General features: G+C 39.1%; 1 long non-coding RNA gene across 1 annotated transcript; it reads left to right on the forward strand.

The window, feature by feature from the left end:
- Positions 1 to 16,583: 16,583 nt before the first annotated feature.
- LINC02722 (long intergenic non-protein coding RNA 2722) lies at positions 16,584 to 17,496 on the forward strand. The gene is made up of 3 exons (NR_187444.1): positions 16,584 to 16,690; positions 16,813 to 16,902; positions 17,108 to 17,496. It is a non-coding gene; the product is annotated as a long intergenic non-protein coding RNA 2722 (long non-coding RNA).
- Positions 17,497 to 25,956: the final 8,460 nt, after the last annotated feature.

The raw sequence follows: 25,956 nt of genomic DNA on the forward strand, positions 1-25,956 counted from the left end.
CTTTTATTCAGGCTATCAGAACAGCTTCCTGATTACTCTCTTTCAATTACAGGCTGACATTTGTCTATTTGTTAAAAAATGTACATGTCATATACACCATGGAATACTATGCAGCCATAAAAAGGAATGAGATCATGTCCTTTGCAGGGACATGGATGAAGCTGGAAACCATCATCCTCAGCAAACACAGGAACAGAAAACCAAAAACTGCATGTTCTCACTTATAGGTGGGAGTTGAATGATGAGAATACATGGACACAGGGAGGGGAACATCACACACCAGGGCCTGTTGCAGGGTCGGGGAGAGGGGAGGGAGAGCATTAGGACAAATAGCTAATGTATGCAGGGCTTAAAACCTTGATGATGGGTTGATAGGTGTGGCAAACCCACCATGGCACACGTATACCTATGTAACAAACCTGCATGTTGTGCACTTTTATCCTAGAACTTAAAGTAAAATAAAAATAAAAAGAAAAAAATACATGTCTATAGTATTAATCTTCCTAAAGCAATGCTTTCATCATGTCAGTCCCTTGCTTTCAAAAAAATCTGTTATAGCATTTTGTTGATCACAGAGTATTACCAAACCTCCTTACTTAGCAGTTTAGGCCTTCTGGAAACTTCTATTTCTTCAACAAACACTTCTTTTTATTACACAAATAATTCATAGTAATATATAAAGAAAAAATACTGTGCCTTCCCCAAGTCCCATGAAATCTTAGTTGTGTGTTTTCCTCATATAAACATAGACATATAAGAAATGTACAATGTGGCTGGGTGTGGCGGCTCACACCTGTAATCCCAGCATTTTGGGATGCCAAGGTGGGTGGATCACCTGAGGTCAGGAGTTCAAGACCAGCCTAGTCAATATGGCAAAACCCCGTCTCTACTAAAAATACAAAAATTAGCTGGGCGTGGTGGCGGGCACCTGTAATCCCAACTACTCAGGAGGCTGAGGTGGGAGAATTGCTTGAACCCGGGAGGCGGAAGTTGCAGAGAACCGAGATGGCACCACTGCACTCCAGCCTGGGTGACAGAATCAGAATCTGTCTCAAAAAAAAAAAAAAGAAAGAAAAAAAAAATGTACAAATTTTTTAAAAATGGTTATTCTTTTATTATTCTACAGCTTGTATTTTTAACAAATTGTGAAGTATTTTCCTTCTTAGGAAATATTCACTTACATTATCATTATTAATGACTATAAGAGTGTTCCTTAATATGAATGCATCCTATTTTATTTAATCAGTCTCTTATTGTGAGAAATTTAGAAATTTTTATAATAACGCAGTAATAAGTATCTTTAAACATTCATTTTTTGTGAATTGTTTCAATGAGTTATGCTCACTGCATACATTTTAGGTGTGGCATTGCTGGGTCAAAAGTTGCAGAATTTTTTAGTTTGTCACATATTTCTAATTGGCTCCCCAAAATAGCCGCAGACAAAATATTGAGTTCCAGATGTAGAAGTAGTATAGACCACATTCTCTGACCCAAATATAGTAAAACCAGAAATGAATAATAAATATGTAATCCCCAAAGCCCAACCGTTTGACCTCAAAAAACAAACAAGTAAAGGCATCCTCTTAAAAACTCTTTGGTCAAAGAAGAAATTAAAACTGACATTACAAAATTATTTGACAGGAATGACAACCAGAATGGCATATAATAATTTTTTAAAATTTTTCTGCCAAAACTGCACCTACAAGCAAATTTAAAACTTGAATATTTTCTGTATTAAAAAAAAAGAAAAGTAAATATACAAAGCATCCCACTCAAGTTAGCAAAGAACAAATATACTCGGGGGAAGCAATATATAGATAAATTAAGGTAAAGGCAATATGGAAGGAATTGGGGGTAGGAAATAGTGGAATTGATGGATAAGTTCAATATCTTGCTCCGTGTGTGTATGTGTGTGTGCATGTGTGCGTGCTCAAAGGAAGAGGGACCACATGGAACACTCTCATGTTTTGCTGACAGTTCAGCAGGCAAGAAAAACTTGACATTCACAGTGGGATTAACCAGGATAAAATCAGTCTCAGCAGAGTGTCATGAAAGTACAAAGGTGGAAGTGATTAATTTAGTGGAGGTCAGGCCAGTGAAGGAAAGCTTCGCAGAGAATGTGACAGCTGAGTTGAGCATTATGGGATGGTAGGATTTTGCCAAGCGAAATGCTTGTAGAGAGGGAGTGAAGTCTAGGTGTGGTGGTAACAGTTGGGGATTGTTTTTAAAGTGCTGGAATTATTTTTCATGCCTAATCAGTTCTAGACATCTATGGGACTATTAACTATACAGCTTTATCGTTTTAAATAATGTGCTTTCTTTTAGAGGTAGAATTCTTTTGATTCAGGCAATCTATTTTTAGAGCCTGCTTTATATTTGTAGCAATTATGATGGAAAATGAACTTCCTAGAAATTAAATGTGTCATTTTATATCTTATCTGTAATGAGCTGATGGTGTTAGCATGCAAAGATATATTTAATACCTACTTTATCCGATGAAAAGAATATATTGCATGGATCCAAGTGTGGTCAAATAATGGAAAGTCTGTTAAAGCCATATGGAAATCTTTTCATTAATTTTAAATATTTAGGAATTTATCTGTTGACTATCCCATGACTAAGTTTCAGTATTTTATATAATAAGTATAGAATAAGAAAAATAATGTCCGTATCACTTCTCTTTCCAAAAAGGTATTTTATCTTTGTTGTTATAAGTGTTTTCAAAATGCAAACTTCTAAATTTAGTATGATTCTATCTTGAGGGAGAAGAAACAATCATATCCTCTCACTATGTGTATATGTATGTGTGAGATGTATGTTTGTAAAAGCATAGAAGATAGAAAAAGGTAGCAGTTAAAACTAGTGCCCTGGGGATGGAGAGGGGGAGATTCTAGAAAAGATGAGTGAGAAAAATAAAAGGGAATGAAAAAAGATGGTTAGTTCTTTTTATACATTTGTGTTGTTTTGTTGTGGTGGTAACTGGTCATTTTATAATTTTGGAAGAAGAGGTATTAAAGCTTTTAGAACTACAAGACAATTATGGTTCAGGAGGGCAGCTCTTTACTAATGCTGGGTTGGTTAAGGTATTTGAGGCCAGCATCTATCATTTCATGGCTACTATAGAGTGCACTGGCTACATTGAGACTTCATGGTCCCAAGCTTGCTGAAAAGGATGAACCTCAACCCTAGGCTGGCCATTTTTCTTTTTTCTTTTTTTTTTTTTTTTTTGAGTAGGACAAGAAGGGGATTCTGACTGCTAGAAAGTTGGAAGAGCTAGAATCTAGTCCTCCCTGGGCATTTGATGACCCATGACCTTGGGAAAGTCACACCTCTCTGGGCTTCAGTATCCTCCCACATGAGGGAGAAGAAAGAGATAATCATGACTATTCCCTCCAGTTCTAAAACACTGTGATTCCAACCTGCAGTCTATTTTAGCGGGTCTTATTATTTCCCCTTGAAATAAACCCCTGAAATAGTTTCTGAATAATACTCAGTACCTCAACATCACAGCTATTGTTGATTCATTTTTTATGACTCCCATGATCCTAACTAAATGTCATTCACATAACAAGTATTTAAAAGCATAAATGTTATGAGGGAAACAAAAAAAGTAGAGAACAAGACCTTGCTCACAAGACGCTTCTAGTGCAGTTGTGCAGAAAATATGTGTATTCTATCAAGCTGAGAGAAGCCATTCTATGAAATAAACATGAAATTACAAAATAGAATAATAAAGTCTCTACCTAAAAGTGCCACAGAAGTAAAGAAACAACTATAATATATTTGGTGATATAGTTTGGATGTGTGTCCCAACCCAAATCTCATAATGGAATGTAATCCCCAACATTGGAGGTGGGGCCTGGTGGGAGGTGATTGGATCATGGTGGCAGAATTCTCATGCATGGTTTAGCACCATCCTTGTTGGTACTGTTCTCATGATAGATAGTAAGTTCTCATGAGATCTGGTTGTTTATGTAGCACCTCCCCACCTCATTCTCTCTTGCTCCTGCTGTGTAAGACAACTCCTCCCCCTTCACCTTCCGCCATGATCAGAAGCTTCCTGAGGTCTCCCCAGAAGCAGATGCCACTATGCTTCCTGTACAGCCTGCAGAACTGTGAGACAACTAAACCTCTTTTATTTATAAATTGCCCAGTCCTAGGCATTTCTTTATAGCAATGCAAGAATGGACTAACACATGTGGTGATTGCTTGAATAATAATATGTCCTAGGTGGCACCAGAGTGTAAAGAAGGAAACAAAAACTGTACGTGGGAAGTGGAGGAATCCTTCTACAAAAGGATCAGAGGAAAGAGAACGTGAAAGGGAATGCAAATTGACACTGCTTAATGGCAGGAATGAAGGTTGATGGAGCACTGTGCTCTGCCCAATGCTAGAGACAAAGGGAGAGCAATATTAACCAAGGCAGCTTTGAGTATAGTGTCCCGCCCCTTTAGAGAAAAGTTTAGAATAGCTCCCCATACTCATATTTTGTAGTTAGTGAAGTTGAGTCTCAGAGACGCCAAGAGACATGCTTAAAGAGACAAAATCAGGAAGCAGTGTGCTGGAAACACATGATGGATCCATCTCCAAAGCACCTCCTCTTCCTGTTCTACCATGCTGCCTCCTTGAAGGAAACAAGGTGAAGCTGTCCTAGGAGAGACCTATTCTCCTCAGGGAAAGGCAACAGCAAATTTGATTTGTGTAACAAAAATATATTCCATACATAGAAATTGACAAACTGAATTTAAAATTTAGTCAAAAAGGCAAAGGACCTAGAATAGCCAAAACAATCTTCAGAAAGAAAAAGTCTGGAGGTCTTAACTTCAGGACTTAATAAAAGCTGCAGTCAGACTGGACGCGGTGGCTCATGGCTGCAATCCCAGCACTTTGGGAGGCCAAGGCAGGTGGATCACTTGAGGTCAGGAGTTTGAGACTAGCCTGGCCAACATGGTAAAACCCTGTCTCTATTAAAAATACCTAAAGTTAGCCGGACGTGGTGGCAGGTACCTGTAGTTCCAGCTACTTGGGAGGCTGAGGCAGGAGAATCGCTTTATGTAGGCATAAACCTGGGAGGCAGAGGTTGCAGCGGGCCAAGATTGCACCACTACACTCCAGCCTGGGTAACAGAGTGAGACTCCATCTCAAAAAAAAAAAAAAAAAAAAAAAAAAGCTGCAATTATCAAGACAGTGTGGTATTAGTGAAATAAATGACAGATCCATGAAACAGAATGAAGAAACCTGAAATAGAATCACATGTATATGGTGAGAGTCCCAAAACCTTTTTGTATATACAGTACAGTAGAGAGAAGAAAGCTTTCTTAGGGTGCTTTAACCAACTCTATTGAGGTATAATTTATATACAATATTATGCTTTCAGTTCAATGAGTTTTGACAGGTGTATAAGCCTGTGTAACCATTATCACAATGTTCTACATTTTCAATACCCTCAGAGAATTCCTTTGTGCCTCTTTGCTGCCAGTTCCTCCCCAAGCCTCAGCCCCAAGCAACTGCTGATCTGCGGTCACTATAGATGAGTTATGCCTTTTCTAGAATGTCCTATGCCTGGACTCATACAATAGATAGTCTTTTGTGTCTAACATATTTATGATGAAATATTGGAAACATTCCCTTTGAGACTGGGAATGAGACAGGAATGTCCACTATCACTGCTTAAATTCAACATTGTACTAAATAGTCAGTGAAGTAAGGCAAGAAAATAAAATATATGGTAAAAGATATTGGAAAGAAGAAATAAAACTGTATAATTTGCAGATTATATCATTATGTGTTTTGAAAACCCAAAAGAATCTACATAAAAATGTTAGTTACTATGAGTGCATCTTCAGTTTCCTGAATATAAAATCAATATATTAAATTATATTTCTAGGCCAGGCACAGTGGCTCATGCCTGTAATCCTAGCACTTTGGGAGCCCAAGGTAGGCAGATTGCCTGAGCTCAGGAGTTCAAGATCAGCCTAGACAACATGGTGAAACCCCATCTCTACTAAAAATACAAATAAATTAGCTGGGCATGGTGGTGCATGCCTGTAGTCCCAGCTACTCAGAGCTGAGGCACAAGAATCATTTGAACCCGGGAGGCAGCAGAGGCTGCAGTGAGCCAAGATTGTGCCACTGCACTCCAGCCTGGGAAACAGAGTGAGACTCTGTCTCAAAAAGAAAAAAATATATATTTCTATACATAAACCACACAATTAGAAAGCTGAAATTTAAAAAGGTAACATTTACAATAGCAATGAAAAATAGAACCTGGAAAGAAATCTAACAAAACTTATGCAAGAATTATTGGAAAAAATTATAAAACCAATAAAAGGCATTTTAAAATACCTAAATAAATGAAGAGCTATAACTTTTTAACTTACTACAAATAAATTGATTTAAAAACTCCATATCATAGAAATATAAATGATCACAAATTGATCTGAACATCCAACAATAAAAATACAAATCTCAATGGATATTTTGGTAAAATTTGGCAAGCTTATTTAAATATTTGGATGAAAAAGCACTAGTCCAAAAAAACGCCAAAATACTCTTGATGAAAATGAATATGATGGGGAGAATTGCCCTACCAGATATAAATCTATAACAATTAATTCAGGGCAGTATTGTCGTAGAGATAGAAAAAAATACACTAATGCGTTAGAATAGACAGCTCAGAAAAGCAATAGGAATATATGGACAATGTAATATATGGTGAAGGTGCTATAACAGATCAGTGAAGGAAAGTTTGAATTTTTTCAGTAAATGGCTCTGAGATCACATGAATAAAGAAAAATCAGAGGCTAGAGGAATTTTAAAAAGATACAGGACTTGTATAAAACAAACAGCAAAATGGCAGGCATAAATCCTACTGTATCCATAACTGGATTAAATATAAATGGATTAAACATTCCAATTAAAAGGCAGAGATTGGCAGAAAGGACTAAAAAACAAACAAACATGATCCAACCATATTATGACTAAAGAGAACACTTTAGAACCAAACAAACAAATAGGTTGAAAGTAAAAGAATGGAAAGCTATACTAAGGAAAAATAACCGAAAGAGAGCTGGAGTGATTGTATTAATAACAGACAAAATGGATTTTAAGGCAAAAATTGTTCTAGAGACAAATACAATTTATAACAATTAAGGATTAATCCATTAAAAAGATAGAAATATTATAAACATGTATGCACCTAACAGCCTTAAAACCTATGAAGCAAAAACTGATAGAACTGAAAGAAGAAATGAACATTTCTACAATAATAGTTGAAGATTTCAGTACCTGACTTTCAACACTAGACAAGACAACTAGACAGAATATTAACAAGAAATAGAAGACTTAAGCAACACACAAATAAACAAGACTTAACAGACATCTATAGAATACTCCCCCGAGAATACTAGAATACACATTCTTCTCATGAAACATTCTCCAGTATAGACCATAAAACAAATCTCAATAAATTTTAAAAGATTGAAATAATACAAAGTATGTTCTCAGACCATAATGGAATGAAATTAGAAAGCAATCACTGCATATGCAGAAGAATGAAACTAGACCCCTATTTCTCCTCATATTCAAAAATCAAATCAAAATGGATTAAAGACTTAAATCTAAGACCTTAAACTATGAAACTACTACAAGAAAACATTAGGGAAATTTGTCGGGGCAAAAAATTCTTTTTTTTTTTTTGAGACAGGGTCTCACTCTGTCACCCAGGCTGGAGTACAGTGGCATGCTCATGGCTCACTGCAACCACAACCTCCTGGGCTCAAGCGATCCTCCTGCCTCAGCCTCCCAAGTAGTTGGAGGGAGTTGATGTACTACAGACATGCATCACCACGCCTGGCTAATTTGTGTACTTTTTTGGTAGAGATGGGGTTTTGCCATGTTGCCCAGGGTGGTCTCAAACTCCTGGGCTCAAGCAATGCGCCTGCCTCAGCCTCCCAAAAGTCTGGGATTACAGGCATGAGCCATCACATCTGGCCATGTCTGGGCAAAAATTTCTTGAGTAATAAATATCCCATAAGCACAGGTAAGCAAAGCAAAAATGGACAAATGTGATAACATCAAGTTAAAAAGCTTCTTCACAGCAAAGGAAACAATCAATAAAGTGAAGAAACAACCTACAGATTGGGAGAAAATATTTGCAACTACCCATCCGACAGGGATTAAAACTAGCATATAGAAGGAGCTCAAACAGCTCTATAGGAAAAAAATTTAATGATCTGATTTTTAAAATGAGCAAAAGATTTAAACAGACAGTTCTCAAAAGAAGACATACAAATGGCAAATAGGCATATGAAAAGGTGCTCAATATCATTGATCATCAGAGAAATGCGAATCAAAACTACAATCAGATATCATCTCACCTCAGTTAAAATGGCTTTTATCCAAAAGTCAGGCAATAAAAAAGGCTGGCGAGGATGTGGAGAAAAGGGAACACTTGTACTTTATCGGTGGGAATGTAAATTAGTACCACTATGGAGAACAATTTGGAGGTTCTTCAAAAAAACTGAAAATAGAGCTACCGTATGATCCAGCAATCCCACTGCTGGGTATGATCCAGCAATCCCACTGCTGGGTATATACTCAACAGAAGGGAAATCAGTGTACTGAATATGTATCTGTACTTCCATGTTTGTTGAAACACATCACAATAGCCAAGATTTGGAAGCAACCCAAGTGTCTGTGAACAGATGAATGGATAAAGAAAATGTATGTATACATAACGGAGTACTATTCAACTATAAAAAAGAATGAGATCCTGTCATTTACAGCAACAAGGACAGAACTGGAGGTCATTATGCTAAGTGAGATAAGCAAGACAGTACTACAAACATCACGTGTTCTCACTTATTTGTGGGATCTAAAAATCAAAACAACTGGACTCACAGAGATAGAGAGTAGAAGGATGGTTACCAGAGTCTGGGAAGGGTAGTAAGAAGGTGGGGATGGGGGTGATGTGGGGATGGATATCAAGTACAAAAATAATAATAATCTAACTTTCCACATTAAGAAACTAGAAAGGGAGCAAACTAAACCCAAAACAAGCATAAGAGAGGAAATAAGAGTTATAAAATAAATAAGATAAATAGAAAAACAGTAGAGAAAAATCAAGAAAACAAAGTTATTATTTGAATGATCAACAAAGTTGGCAAACCTTTCACAGACTAACTTGGAAACAGGAAGACTCAAATTACTACAATCAAGAATGAAAGAGAGGACATTACCATCAACCCGACACAAATAAAGATTATAAAAAGAATACTATGGGCTGGGTGCAGTGGCTCACGTCTGTAAGCCCAGCACTTTGGGAGGCCGAGGTGGGTGGATCACGAGGTCAGGAGATCGAGACCATCCTGGCTAACACGGTGAAACCCTGTCTCTACTGAAAATGCAAAAAATTAGCCACACCACTGCACTCCAGCCTGGGTGACAGAATATTATGAACTGTAGGCCAGCAAATTCCATAATTTAGATGAAATGGACAGCTTTCTAGAAAGACATCACTACTGAAACTGACTGGAAAATAAATTAAAATCTGAATAGACTTATAACAGGTAAAATGATTGAATTAGCAATTAAAAAAAATTGCCAACAAAGAAGATCCCAGAACCAGATAACATAACTGGTATATTCTACCAAATGTTTACAATTGTCACCAATCCTTCATAAACCCTTCCAAAAAATAGAAGAGGAGGTAACAACTCATTCTATGAGGCCAGAATAATACTGGCCTCATAGAAAGTACCAAATTGTACCAAAACCAGAAAAAGATATCACAAGAAAACTTCAGATTAACACTGTTGTGAATATAGATGCAAAAATTCTCAATAAAATCCTAGCAAACTATACTGTGTCCATTTGAGTGATAAAAAATAAAACGCCGGCAAACTAAATCCAGGAACACATACAAGGATTATAAACCGTTACCAAGTGGGATTTATCTCAGGATTGCAAGGTTGGTTCAATATATGAAAATCAATTAATCTAATACACTAATTAATAGAATAAAGGGCAAAATGACAAGATCATCTCAGTAGATGTGGAAAAATGTAACCCAACAAAATCCAACACCATTTTATGCTAAAACAAAACCAAACCAAACAAAAACCACAAAACCACTTATCAAATTAGGAATAGAAGGAAACTTCCTCAACCTCATAAAGGGCATCTATGAAAACCCCAAAGCAAACACTGTGCTTAATAATGAAAGACCGAAAGCTTTTCTCAGCAGCAACAAGACAAGAATATCCACTCTCATGAATTCTACTCAATATAGCACTGGGGGTTTCAGTCAGGGAAAAGACAAGGAAAAAAAAGGTTTCTAGGTTAGAAAGGATGAAGTATAACTGTCTCTATTAGCAGACTACATGATCTTGTATATAGTAAATCCTGAGGAATCTACACAAAAAACAAATATAGCTATTGAGCTGGGTCAGCAAAGTGCCAGGATACAAGATCAATATACAAAAAGAAATTGTATTGCTATGTATTAGCAATAGACAATACAGAAATGAAAATAAAACAAAATGACATCAAAATGAAATACTTAGGAATAAATTTAACAAAAGAAATATAAGACTTGTTTACTGAAAACTATAAAATGTCATTGAAATAGATTCCAGAAGATCCAAATAACTGGAAAGACATATCACCCATGAAATAAAGTAGTTATTATTAAGATGGCAATACTTCCCAAACTGATCTACAGATTCAGTACAATCTCTATCAAAATCTCAGATGGCTTCTTTAGATAAATTGACAAACTGATCTTAAAATTTATATGAAACTTCCAGGGACCTGAAATAGCCAAAATAATCTTGAAAAAGAAGAATAAAGTTGGAAACTTCACACATCCTGATTTCAAAACTTATTGGAAAGCTACAGCAATAATAAAAAAAAGTGTGCTAGAATAACAGGTGCACTAAAATCTCAGAAATCACAACTAAAGAACTTATTCATGTAACCAAAAACCACCTGTACCATAAAACTATTGAAATACAAAAGTGTGTTATTGAAATAAGGACAGTTATGTAGATCATGTACTACAACTGAGAATCTAGAAAGAAACTCATACATTTTGAATTTTTAACAAAGTATAACTTTGCCAAAACAATTCAATGGAGGAAGAATAATATTTTCAACAAATCCTGCTGGGACAACTGGATATATACATGCAAAAGAATGAGGCAGGACCCTTACCACAACATATACAAAACAAAAACAAAAACAAAAACAAACAAACAAAACCAAAAACCTAAAAATGGATCAGTGACCCAGATATAAGTGCTAAAACCAAAACACCTTTAAAAGAAAACGTAAAGGTAAATCTTCATGATCTTGGCAATGAATTCTTAGATATGACACCAAAACCATGAGCAATGAAAGAAAAATAAAAGATAAGTAGGACTTCATCAAAACTTAAAACTTTTGCACTTTAATGGACACTATGAAAAAAGTGAAACAGCTAATGTATTGGGAGAATATATTGGTCAAATATAGAGACCAAATATAGTAAAAAGAATATTTGCAAAATACCTAATAGGGGCTTGTATCCAGAATATATAAAGAACTCTTACAGGCCAGGTACAGTGGCGCATGCTTATAATCCCAGTGCTTTGGGAGGCTGAGTTGGGAGGATCATTTGAGGCCAGGAGTTTGAGGCCAGCCTGGGCAACATAGTGAGACCCCCATCCCTACAAAAAAAATTTTGATAGCCAGGCATGGTGTGCATGCCTGCAGTCCTAGCTATTTGAGAGGCTGAGTAAGGAAGATCACTTGAGCCCAGGACTTTTAGGTTACAGTGAGCTATGATTGTGCCACTACACTCCAGCAGAATGAGATGAAAGAAAGAAAAGAGAAAAAAAGAAAAGGAAAAGAAATTCTCTTACAACTCTACAATAAAAAGACAACCTAGTTAAACACTGATCAAAGGAATAGACATTTCTCCAAAGGTGGCCAATGATGCTCGATATCATTAGTGACTAAGGAAATGCAAGTAAAAACATGACAAGACATAATTTCACACACTAGGATGGCTATAGTAAAAAAGACAGATAAAAAGAGTTGAGGAGGATGTGAAGAAATTGGAACACCCATATACTACTGGTAGGAATATAAAATTGTTAGTCACTTTGAGAAACAGTTTGGAAGTTCCTGAAAAATTAAATATAGAGTTAGCATATGATCCAGCAATTCTACTTCTAAATATATGCCCAAGAGAATGGAAAACATATGTTCGTACAAAAACTTGTACACAGATGTTCATAGCAGCATTATTCATAATAACCAAAAAGTGGAAGCAACTCAAATGTACATCAACTGATGAATAGATGAAAGAAAATGTAGCATAGCCATACAGTGGAATATTATTTGGTAAAAAAAAAAAAAAAGAGAAAGAGAAAGAAATGAAGAACTGATACGTGCTATAACGTGGATGAGCCGGTTTTTTTTTTTTTGATGGATGAATTTTGAAAACATTATGCTAAGTGAAAGATGTCAGTCACAAAAGGCCACATATTATGTGCTTCCGTTTAAATGAAATGTCCAGAAAGGGTAGATCCCTGGAGACAGAAAGTAGTTTTGTGGTTGCCAGGGGACATGGGAAGGAAGGAATCAGGGGTGACTGCTAATAGTTATGGGGTTTCTTTTTGGCGTGATAAAAATGTCCCGGGCCTGGCGGGGTGGCTCACACCTGCTATCCCAGCACTTTGGGAGACTGAGGCGGGTGAATCACCTGAGGTCAGGAGTTCGAGACCAGCCAGGCCAACATGGTGAAACTCCGTCTCTACTAAAAATACAAAAACTTAGCCGGGTGTGGTGGCAGGCACCTGTAATCCCAGCTACTCAGGAGGCTGAGGAAGGAGAATCTCTTGAACCTGGGAGACGGAGGTTGTAGTGAGACGAGGTTGCGCCATTGCACTCCAGCCTGGGCAACGAGAGCGAAACTGTCTCAAAAAAAAAAAAAAAAAAAAAGTCTTCGAGTTAGTGGTTATGATTCCACAATTCTGTGGCTACACTAAAAACCACTGAATTGTATACTTTATAAACAAATAAATTTGTCATTTTCTCATATACCTCACTTTCTCAGTAAAACACTTAGATAATAGTTGAAAAAGGCAATACACTCACTTAGGATAATGAACACTGCCAGTCTCTATATAATTACACCATATCTTCATGTATTTCACAGTCCACATGGACTGTTTATGAATCCATCAGAAGTAGGTACATCGCTATTAAATGCAAGTCCCTGTGCTTGGTACTGTCATGGCCCACTTAGCCTAAGACAACTAGGGACAAATCTGTAGTCTGAAAAGTCAGTTTTTGTTTGTTTGTTTGTTTTTTGGCTGATTGCAATAAGAAAAATCACATAGTGGAAGAATCATGGAACTTCTCGACAAATGAAGGAAGAAATAGTTAACTATAAAAGTTCTGGAAAAGATGGAGTCTTTGTAAAATTAAATGAAGGAGTGTTTTAATGTGTGTTAAGCAATGCGGTGTGAGTATAAAAGGGTTATCATCAGGTCTGGACTGAAATGGACACGGGATCATATTTCCTTGGACACTATTAAGAAAATGCCAATACTGTGTCCAGAAACCTTTATCTGAACCTCTGCGCCGGGGCGGTAAATCAAGGTCGCTTCTCTTAGTTCCCCCAGGTAAGAGTGGGATGTTTCATTGTTACTGATGTAATTTCAAACAGCAAAATTTTGAAAGTCTCCCATGTCAGAGGACAGGGTTACTCATTAAGAAAGCTGTTGTCACTCTAAGAAGGGGGTCATACGGCACCTTTCAGCAGCAGTGTGTCCTTGGGAGAAATATCGTTGGCTATTAACTTTGCGGCTGGCTTTATCTGTCTGTTATCGTAGCCTGATGAATGGCAGCGCTGATTTTTACTTTCTCAGTATTGGTGGGGTTACAAAGATTAATGAAATGTTGTTTGTGCTGGTAAAGCCCTGGAGGTAAGAAAGGCACTACTTTGATTAAGGAGGAACAAATGCAGCTTGCCCTGAAGATTCGTTTCCTCCGCCTTTTGTTGATTTTCAAGGAGCTGTTTTCACAGACCTAAGTGCAGAGTGCGCATCTCTCTGTGTGACAAGGCGGGGTGGGGAGGAGGTCCTGCCTGCCCTGTCCTAGCTTTCCCGCATGAACTCTATTTGTCCTGGTGTGTGGTCCTAGTGGGGTCCTTGGCCCTTTCGTGACAGTTCTAATCACAAAGGCACACATCCAAGTGGTCTCTAATTTTTGGAAGTGGTGGGAAACATTCCTTCCTAAGGGTCCTGTCAGCTGACAAGTCGGGCTGGAGACTGGGTGACCGGGATCCCGGTGCCTGCAAGCCCAAGGGTAGCTGAAGCCGCCTGGAGTTCAGGAACCAAGCTGTTGGTAGTCTGCTCTAATATCTGGGATTGAGGGTGAAGGAGTGGCAGGGACTCTGCCAGCATTGAAGCCCCAAAGCAAGCGGGCCATTTGAAAGAGAGGTAAACCCGCTGCAGACAGAGAAACCGGGTATTGAGGCTGCTCATCGCTCGCAACCCGGGAGGTTGGCTGAGTCAACCCAGTGCAGCAGAAGCAAAGCGCGGGCTAAGGCTGCAGTTGGGCTCACAGCCCCAGCTGATGGGTTGAGAGAAAAATCTGGCCTGGAATTCACTACTTCTCCAAACAAAAAACCCTGGCAGGTTTATGGCCCAATGGGAAAACCTGGAATGGCTTTCAGGGAATTGCAGAGACTAGGTCAGCAGGAACTCAGACTAGATCTGGGATCTGGTCCCCAGCCCCACACTGCCTCCTCAGGAGCTTCCAAATGTCCTGAATTTGCTGGAACCAGAGCTTACATGGCTGCTGTTATCACTATTATTACTCTGTTCTTTTATCACTCTGTGTAATTGTTATGGAAGGTGTCAGTTACCTTCTATAACATATCATGTGAGGCTTGGGTCCATAGACATCCTGATTGATATATTCATTGTGACCCCGTCTTGTGACTTCTAAAACAGTCAAGCACATGGCCAAACGTGACCTGTACCCCTAAAACTTGCCTTGATTGAATCATTAAAATATATTTTTTCTCTTACCAACAAAAGAAAAGGAAAAAAAAAGCCCTCTGAATTTGTAGGAATCCTCTGACTTGGTCTAAATGCCACTAACATAAGTGCTATGTGGATACAAAGGAAGTAACTGAGGAATATTCCTCGGGAAAAGTTGGCTTAGAAGGTTCCTGGGTCCCTGCTGGTGTCAGGATCAGTTCAGCCCTCTTTGGGGTCCTACACTCAGATATATTCATTCTCTCCTCTGTGTCTGTCTGTTGCTCTAGTGCCTGATGTACATGTTAATTTATTTGTATTGGGTCTCACAAACTCGATTAAAAAAAAAAATCCAAAACCTGAAAATTGTTCTTGGTAATTTGACTAGACAGGAGGAGACTAAGCAGGTGCTTTGTAATCTATGTAAAATGTGAGTGCCAAAGTTCAGAGAGGTCAGTCCACCTAGGGAGAAGTAGTTGTTATGGTAGATTCATGGGATCCATGTGGGTCAGGGGAAAATCAAGATGGAGCAGGTGGCCGGGTGTTGTGGCTCAAGCCTGTAATCCCAGAACTTTGGGAGGCCGAGGCAGGATCGCTTGAGCCCAGGAATTTGAGACAACAGTCTGGGCAACAAAGCAAGACCTCGTCCCCTCAAGTCCCCCAAAAAAATTAAAAAGAAAAGATGGAGCACTAGGCTTGGCACAAAGCCATGATGGTAACATGGTGACAACAGCAGTGGTGATACTCACAGCTGCCATTTATCTAGCATTTATTATGTGCCAGGGTTGGTTGTAAATGGCAGTAAAAGGCAGAGCCAGAAATCTACAGGTTCCAAGGAATGATATACACCCAGTTTCTAGCAGTCTTCCTTTTCTTCTTTCCCAAATGAGGGAAAATGATGACCTCTATCTTTGCCTTATGTGTTAGCTGTATACGACTCTGATAACAACAACAATAATAATAATAATAATGGTAGTGATAATAAAGTAGTATAAAATGAAAGTAATAATGTAAACATGCCCCCATATACTGCCTAATTATAGTAATATATAATTATATAGTAATATGTACTTGTAATATAACTAATATCTACAGTAGATAATTACCCTCTGTAGATATTTAACAAATCTTCATCTGTTGCAAGTCATTCAACAAGTATTTATTGAGTGCTAGTAAATACATGATTTTCTGCTATCTGAGATCAAGCGATAAACAGTCACAGTCCCTGCCCTTATGTATTTTTGTTGTTTTGTTGCTGTTTTTCCATAAGGAGAGGTATTATGTTTTGTGTATAGAGCGGTTCAGACAATCATAATGCTTGATTCCAAATCAGAAGACCCAGATGCTAGTTTTTGGTTTGATAGCCAGTCACTTTAATTTCTTAGTGTCATCTACACTACATCATGAACAAATAAGGTGTTAGACTAGATTTTTACGAGCTCTGCCAGCTGTAACATTTCATTATTTGGTTTAGAGTCTGTGACATCCAGTGTTGGGAGGGCAATTTGGCTGACTGGATATAAAAGGGCAGCCTTTAGTTTTGCCTACAACCTCACCATTATTTGGTCTATCAAGTCTTTTTCATCTTGTTTAATGGTAGTCAAATCTTCAGAAACCTGGCTTTTTATATCTAAACTAATATAAAAATGATAATGGTAAGAAATCTAATTTAGTTATCTTTTTTTTTTCTGGAAAAGGAAACCATCAACAACAACAACACACACACACACACACACACACACACACACACACACCACATGATTGCTTGCTTGCTTAGGGAGGAATCAGAGCTTCAAAAGTGAGCTGATTCCAGCCACCAGCTGTCATCATATGAGGAGCTCTTGTGAGTTGATCGCCCATGAAAGAGGTAAGTTATCCTTTCTCTTCACTAATCTACATCTGTAGTATATTCAATACTTACCCATCCTTTATCCTTTACCGTGTGGTTTTCCATGGCTTCATGAAATGCTTTAGCCAGACAGGTCAAGGTTTAAAGGTGGTTTTCTTTGTTTTGTTTCATTTCGTTTGCAATGAAAGTTAATTGCTAATTGAAAGTTAATTGATTTTTCTAGGAATGAGCCTCTAAACATGGCCACAGCTCAGTGATACTGACCAACCAGACATACCTTTGCTGGACCTATGCAAACATGAAACAGGTAAAGAGAAGTGAGTATGTGGCATTCATCAGAGAAATAAGACCAATGCGAATTTTGTAAGCAGTATACAGGCCTGTCGAACATGATTACTTGGAAAATTACTAACTAAACCTTTTTTTAGCCTTTTCACATTCAGTTAAGATTTCATGAAGAGTTGTAAGAGAAAAGCTTTTCCAGACCCAGCCATGAGTACTCTGCTTTACTCAGAAGAACCACAAACTTTGAACAGCTTGATAATCCAGCATTTCTGAAACTTTTCTTTGCATGTGTGTCACTGAGGTATCTTATTAAAGCACATATTCTAATTCTTTGGTCTGAGATGGGGACTAAGATTCTGCATTTCTAACAACTTCCAAGTGATGCTAATGTGTTCCTGATGCTGGGACCCTATTTTAAGTAGCAAAGGTCTTGTTGGAATCAACCCAACCAATGGAAGGCAAACAATCACAATTCTTGACTGTGAGTTTTGGACAATGATTGTCTATGTTCAGATGGAATTTTATGAAGCTAAACGTTACCTTTGGCCTGTATAGTGAGTATACTACAACTCAAGTGGAGGGGTGTGTGTTCATATTTTCTCTCAAAAACAAAGCTGAAAAGCCAATGGGCACATGGGCAGCAAGGAGAAGGATGCTAGAATAAAATCTTATTGCAAAAAGGTGGAGATCAATAATCTGCAGCTATTTCTTTTTCTTTCTTTCTTTTTTTTTTCTGAGACAAGGTTTCACTCTGTCACCTAGCCTGGAGTGCACTGGCGCAATCATCACTCACCACAGCCTCGAACTCCTGGGCTCAAGTGATCCTCTTACCTCACCCTCCCAAGTATCTGGACTACAGGCTTCATGAAATACTTTAGCCAGACAGGTCAGGGTTTAAAGGTGCGCCACTACAGGCAAGCACCACTATACCCAGCTAATTTTTAAAATTTTTTTTAAAGAGACACAGGTCTCACTTTGTGCCCAGGCTGGTCTCAAACTCCTGGCCTCAAGCAATCCTCCTACCTCGGCCTCCCAAAGTGCTGGGATTACAGGCATGAGCCATGGCCCCTAGCCCTATTTCTAATGTATGAATAACCTGTTCTCAAGTTATCTTAAGAAATAAAGTATTTCTTTTTTGAAATAAATAAAAAGTAGCTATACAGACCACATTAAAATGAATTACTTTCACTTGAATTAATGGTAGGAAAATTTAGGATAACAAATAAATAAGGAACAATCAGAAAAGAGCTATTTCTCTTGAAGATGGGATTCACTCATTCAACAATTTATTGAGCCCTTTGCAAAGGGGCCAGGTGCTGTGCTGGGTGCTGGAGATACAGAGGCAGCCCCCTCTGTCAAAGTCTCACATTCATTTGGGGGATAGTGACTCAAAACAATTCTTAAAATGAATTAAACTGTGATCTCTGAAGGAGAAATGGAGCATTTTGAGAACATTTGAACTGGAGTGTTGACTTGATTGGGATGTGAAGGAAGGCCTCCCCAAAAAGTGATGTATGAGGTGAGAGCTGAGGGATGCTGGAATTAAGCAGGGGTATGAGGCACAGAAGGTTAGAAGGAGCTTGGGCCATGTGTGGGGTCGTCCAAATATCCTATACATAGTCTCCCCTGATCTGGGGCCTGACAGAGCGAGTCTTGGCATAATTAATGCTGATGCTGGAGACTGCCCAGCCTGGTGTCACCCATAGAAACAGACACACTCCCTGTGGTCCTTGTGGGCCACTGTGCACTGGGGAGCTATCCAGCCTACTCCTTACTTCCACTCCCCCGAATCTTGTCCTTAAGCTGTAGCCTATGAGACATACCTGCTTTTTAAATTCATTTTTCTTATAAGTAACATATAGATTGTATTATGATGATAAAATGATACTTTGAACACATTCTCTTATATTATGTTTAAGAAATGAGCTCCCCAGTTTTTGCTGACTTCCAACCAGGTTTGGGAAACTCTACCCCATGTGGAACGGGCAGGAGTTTGGAGAGTGTGGAATCGGTTAAATCTCTGTGGCCCTTGACAGACTTTGTCCAGGAACACATTTGGTGTTCAGAATAGTGAGCAGCACTCACTGAGGCTCAGAGAAATGAGCTTGCCCAATGTCATGGCGACTGGTGAATAGTGATAAACCTAGCACTGGGTACTCATTTTTCCAGGTACTTAACATCTCATTATCTCAAGTGTCCTGCTTGGCTTTGCTGTCTCAGAAGCTCCCCCAAGCCTGTCACCTTCTGAATTCCCCTTACACCCAGCCTGTGGATCCAGAGGGGGCTTTTTCATGCCTAACATGTTACCGAAACACAAGGGGTTCGGCTTAGGTCCTGCTGCTCACGGCACAGAAAGCCAATCACTGACCCAACAATTATTGCCAAAGAAGTAGGCTTTAATTGGGTGCTGCAGCTGAGGAGATGGGAGGTCAGCCTCAAATCATCTCCCTGGGAGAGGAGTCTCAAATTCATCTCCCTGACCAGCTAAAATTAGGGGTTTATACAGCAGGGAAGGAATGTAACTGTGTGAGAAAACAGGAACTCGGGAAGGGTCAGGAAGCAATCATGATGAATGAGGGGCCTGGAGTTTCTAGTCTGGATGCAATGATCTGGTGAGTTTCAGATCTTTGATACTTTTTTTTTTTTTTTTTTGGAGAGGCCTGGTTGTCCTTTCCTGGAGAAAGAAACTCTGAAATTCTGATAAAAACAAATGTAAGTTTCAAGCTTTAAGGTCATAAGGGTCAATTTCTATGTTTATCCAAAACAAAAAACAAAAAACACCCAAAACTGTCGATGGGACTATTGGGTTGGTTTCAAAGTCAGATATTACTGCCCCCCGGACTCAGTCTCTTTATTTATTATAAATAATATAAACTTTATTGTAGGGGACAGTGGGGAAAGGGAATACTCACGAGTCTGCGAATCCTTGGGTCATGGAGAAACCAGGTAGTGTTCTTCTCTTCCTTTCTTTTTCTCTTTTCATCCTTATTCATTGGGTACATTTTTCCTGCCCCACGGCAAGACCCTAAGATGTGGAACTGCCTGAAGTGAGCAATCTGACCACCAGGGGGCAGCATGAGTCCATCGCTTTGTCTGAAAACAGACAGGTCCTAGTCAGCGGCCCTCCTCTCCAAGCAAGCTGAGTCTGCACGTTGGAGTCATCTGATGAGCTTTTAGAAAACTGCAGGTGGGTGGGCTCACTTCAATTGCCATCTCCTGTCTTCGGGAGTGGGGCGTGGACATCGCCATTATTTAAAAGTTCCTCAGGTGAGTCTGATGCACAACGTTGAAAACCACTCGGAGAGGACTGAATCTGTGAAAACTGTAAAGGCTTCTAGGAATCAGCCAGCCCAGCCCATGTGTTTCCATTTTGCAGCTTCAGGAGCTGAGGCCCAGAGATAGAAACAGTAGGCTTAGGGGTACTTGGAAGACAGCACCAGAACCCAGGACCCTAACATTCGGCCCAGTTCTCCTTCTTCTCTGTAGCACGTGGTCGTCCATATTTCGGCTGGGCCTGGGCATCAGAGGACACCAGGGACCACTCCTCCCCTCCCCTCCGAGAGCAGAGTGGTGCAGTCCCTCCTGGCTTAAGGAGCTCCTCACTGACAGGAGAATTCAGAACTGGCCTGCAGAAATCAACTGGAGAACCTCCCAACCACGTGTGCATGAGGTTCAATGCCCGTGCGTTTCAGGAGACGTGAGGATGGGGAGAGTGAGGTAGTGAGGACAGCCACAGTCCAGTCAAGGAGGGCTTCCTGGAGATGAGGCAGGAGGAGGAGATTGGTTGGATTTCAATGACCCATGAACGGTGGGGGCCACATTTCAAACCAAACCAGAGGATCAGGAGAAGTAATGGGTGTTCATGGGGCCACAGGTACGAGTGGGGGAAGGTGAGGGCCAGACAGCAGAGGAAGTTAACACTGTGGAGACGGAAGAGGGCACAACACCAGAGTACAGACCTTGACTCCCAGACAGAGGATTCAAGGCCCTTTATGGAATCTTCTAGATCTCGGCCTGGATGCCTGAAGAAGCACGAGAGGTGTCTGAGCCTGGGAGGGACGCCTGTGAGCTGGGCCTTAGAAAGACACCCCTGGGGGCAGCCAGACTGGAGGCCCAGAGGGAGGCAGCACCCGGGGCTACTTTAGGATCATGCTTTCCAGATCCTCCCAACACAGAAAAGAGGTGGCTTTTGGAAGGTGTCCAGAGGTATTTGTGGAGTAGAATGGAATACTGAAGTAGAAGAATGCCCTTAACGGTGGGCTGTGGAGGGGGACAGGGCCAGAGAAAAGATTGGGAATAGAAGTTTGGTGAGCAGCAGGGACTCCATACTGGGGGCGTTTCTAGGTCTGACAGTTTCGGGGAACATCACGACCCCACGGGATAGTGGTGTTCAGAGTGAAGAGACATCCCTCTCTCTTCTCCTCTTTCTCCAGGCAGGACATTCTTGGGGAGCCCCAAAAACCCCGACCTGAGAAAGCTCTAGAAGCACAGCATTAGCTCACCACCCACCCCGTACGTCTTGAGTGCTTTGCGATACCACAGGGTTGTCTGTGACACGTCCAGCCCAGCACTGCCCTGCTCTGCCTGCCTGTCTTTGGGAGGATGGATCTGAGGTTCATGAACACTCCACTTCTCCTCTTGTAGGATTCTCTCCAGTAAAGCCTCCCCTGCATTTTATACCACATGGTACCGGAGAGGGTTGCCTTTGTCCTTTTTCCATGACACCTGGCCACCACACAGGCACATCATTTTCCCAATGCTGGGTGTTCTTGGAAGAGGCCTTGTTCCCTAATACTGAGTGTTTTTGGAAGAGTCCTTGTTCCTGATGCTGGGCATTTCTGGAAGAGGCCTTTTTCACTGGGGCCTCCCTAAGCATGGGTGGGTAATAATTTGTTCCTAAACATCCTGGCAGGTCCCAGCGTTTTTATATGGTTGGTATGGGGAGAAATGAGAGTAGGTAATGGATGCTAGCCTCTGTCTGCAAGGCGATACACACTTTTCAAAGCATCATGTCCACTCTCTTTTGTGGTTCACCACAGCCTTCTGAAGTAAAGAGGAAACAGCTGGCAGGGATGATCCCATCTACCTGCCCAGCCAATCCAGCAGAGAAAGGTGTCCCTTTCCCCTAAGGAAGCACTGAGCGGGCATACTGGTTCCTCTTTTGGAGCATGCCCAGAAGAGGAGCTGGAGTCCCAGAACCATTAGGCATGAGAGAGTTACTCCAATAAAGGGCAAAGTTTTTGGATGTTTTGTATTGTATTTCTCAATGCTTTTTATTGGGCTTCTAAACACTTTACATTGTTCTTAGAGAAAAAAACTATAAAATCATCAAGAACAGGTGCAATAATAAAAGCAATAATGATAATGTGGGTAGCTATTCCTTCTCATATATTCGCCCTTTGCCAGGCCTGGTTCTAAGTGACAGTAAAAGGCCAGGCCAGAATTCCAGCTCAGATCTTATTCCTTACTTTTTATCACCTCACCTGTAAGGTTTTAACAGGTGTAGGATTTCAGCAGTAAGAATAATTTGATGTTAAACAAAGAATTCATGACATAGAAGGACAAAAAAAAATCCTATCCTTTTCCCCTAGGACTAAGGTGACCGCCATGATGAAAGACCAGATTCTCATGAAGAAACCGTTTGTGAAGGATTTTGATCAGGCAACATGGGCATGCAGGTTTAAACACAGCCCCCAGCCTTCCATGCCTGGCAAGCCACTTTCTCCTATGTTCATGCATGTCTAGATTTCTCAATGAAAAACGTAGTTGAACTCATGAAAGCCTATCTTTAAAAAATATTAAATAGCTAATCTTATAAACCCCTATACACAGTGTCAGTTCACTTTTTTCATAAAACATGCCTAGTGGAATGGCAACAACTGGGAAAAATTCAGAGCTCAGCATTTATGTATTGAAAATATCTCTTAAGTGGCTATAGGTGTTGGTTTATAAACTCCAGAAATAATTTATAAATAATTGTTTATATTTGCTTATATTAATACTTGTTTATAAACTCGATATTTTCATGTATTTATTTTTTAAGCTTTTTTGTTAAACATGTAAATGTGAATATTTGCAAATCTTCAATATGATTATGTTTGGGCCATCACCATCCAGTTCAAGATTTAGAACATTTCCAACACTTCCAAAGGTGCCCCTTCCCGTTCCATTCCATGCCCCCCGCCCAAGAGAACCACTGTTCTGACCTCTATTCCCACAGATTAGTTTAGCATATTCTTGAGCATATAAATGGAACCACACAGTATGTCATTTCTTGTGATAAGATTCTGTTGCTCTACATCATGACAGGGATTAATCCATACTGAGTATAATACAGTCATAAAACAGAATGCAGTACTGCAGGGGAAATGAATGAACTGCAGTTCTATACATCAATACAGACACAATCTCAAACATATAATATAGACATGAAAAATGATAGTTGCATAAAGTAAAAGTGAGGCAAGAGAAAAAGATAAACGTCTTTTAGGAATGAATTCCTGCGTAGTAAAACAATAAAAAAAAACACATGGAAACATTTAACACAACTTCTAGAGTGATGGATACATCCGCAGGGCAGGAGGGAGGAGGATGTTCACTTTATAATTTTTTGAACTGAGCACATTACATTGTTATGTTGGTATATGTATGTATTATATATTTCACAGGAAAACAAATGAAAAAATAGTGCACAGGAAATGAGAAAGCAGGGAAAGTTAAGTACAGACACTTCCTCTGAGACATCATCTTTTTTGTCATAACCGCTTATACCTTTATGTCAGTAAGTTTACCTTCAGTAAGTTCCTCTGGCTGCAGATGTAGTTTCAAATGACAGCAGCATCAGCATTCCTATGGTCAACTATTTAATCTTTAACTGCATTTAGGTTTGACTCAGATTTCACCTCCACCCTTCTCACTTTTCATTTTGATTACCTGTTTATAGAATGCCACGTGAGTTTATCACTGGAAGACGGGGAGGTAACACAGCAACATATTTTGCTGTCTGTGTGTGAACTGAGTAAGAGTTGTGCAGTAAGAGGTCAGAGAGGCTTTGAAAGAAGTGTCATGGTTGGTCACTGATCGTGATGCACATCTGTCACTTATATAGTGACTTTTGGACTGAGGAGCCAGCAGTGAAGTTTGCACTTTATGCGACTACTTACAGTTAATATGCCTTGATAACTGAGATTTGAGATTTGAACTGTATTTTTGGGTCACCCTCGTGTTATTTATTTAACCCATGGTGACTGAAATTTGTACATATTGGAACAATGCAAATTGAAGACTGTATGTATGTATGTATGTGTATTTATATATAACATATGTATATATTATTTAGATATATTATGTATATAATTATGTACTGTGTATACATACACACACTAAATATATATATACACATATATACATATATACACATATACATACACATATATACATATATACACATATATACGTATATATATATATCACATATATATATCTCACACACAAATACATCATGGTCAACTAGAATTAATTCCAGGAATCCAAGGTTGGCTTAATATTCAAAAATCAATCAATGTAATTCATTATACTTTTTTAAAAAAGAAAAACCATATAATAATCTAAATATATACAGAAAAATATTTGACAAAATTTAATACCCATTGATGATAAAAAAAAAATCTCAGCAGACTTGGAATTTAAGGGAACTTCCTCAGCCTTTGCCTTATCAGGGGCATGTATGAAAAACCTACAGCATCATACTTAATGGTATGATATACTATATTTAGATATACTATATATTATATATATAAAATTTACTGGATACATATATATACACACTAAATATACATATATACATAACACTGAATACTGAGTACTTTCTGAATACTGAATAACTGAATACCTTCTCCTTACTAATGGAAACAAGTGGAGGATGTCTGGTCTCACTAGTTTCATTTAACATTGTGTTGGAGGTCTCAGCAAGTGCAAAATGGCATATAGATAGGAAAAGAAGGAAACAAATTTTATTGGCTCATGACATGGTCATATTTATAGAAAATCATAAGGAATCTTTTTTAAAATCTCCTGGACTATTAAGTAAATTTAGCTAAGTCACAAAACACAAGATCACTATACAAAAATTGGTAATACTTTTATATACCAGCAATGAATAATTGAAAATGAAAAAAAAATTTTTTTGAGATGGAGTCTCGCTCTGTCACCCAGGCTGGAGTGCAATGGCACCATCTCGGCTCACTGCAACTTCTGCCTCCCGGGTTCAAGCAATTCTCCTGCCTCAGCCTCCCGAGTAGCTGGGATTACAGGCGCCTGCCATCATGCCTGGCTAATTTTTGTATTTTTGTAGAGACAAGGTTTCATTATATTGGCAAGGCTGCTCTTGAACTCCTGACCTCAGGTGATCCACCTGCCTCTGCCTCTCAAAGTGCTGGGATTACAGGCATAAGCCACCACGCCTGGCCTGAAAATGAAATTTTTAAATGCCATTTATAACAGCACCCAAAACTATGAAATATATTCAGTGAAATTTTAATGAAATATGTGCAAACATGTACACCAAAAACTATAACATAATGTTGAAGGAAAATGGAGATATATACTGGATTTATGAATCGGAAAATTCAATATCATTAAATGGCATTTCTTCCCCAATTGAGTTATGTATTCTGTGCAAACCTAGCAGGCTTGTTTTCTTTTAGAAGTTGGCAAGCTGAAATTTATATAAAATATGACCTTTGTGCCATAGAATAGCTCAAACAATTTTGGAAAAGAACAAAAAGC

The sequence above is a fragment of the Homo sapiens genome, chromosome 11, assembly GCF_000001405.40.
Source record: "Homo sapiens chromosome 11, GRCh38.p14 Primary Assembly".
NCBI classification, from domain to species: domain Eukaryota; kingdom Metazoa; phylum Chordata; class Mammalia; order Primates; family Hominidae; genus Homo; species Homo sapiens.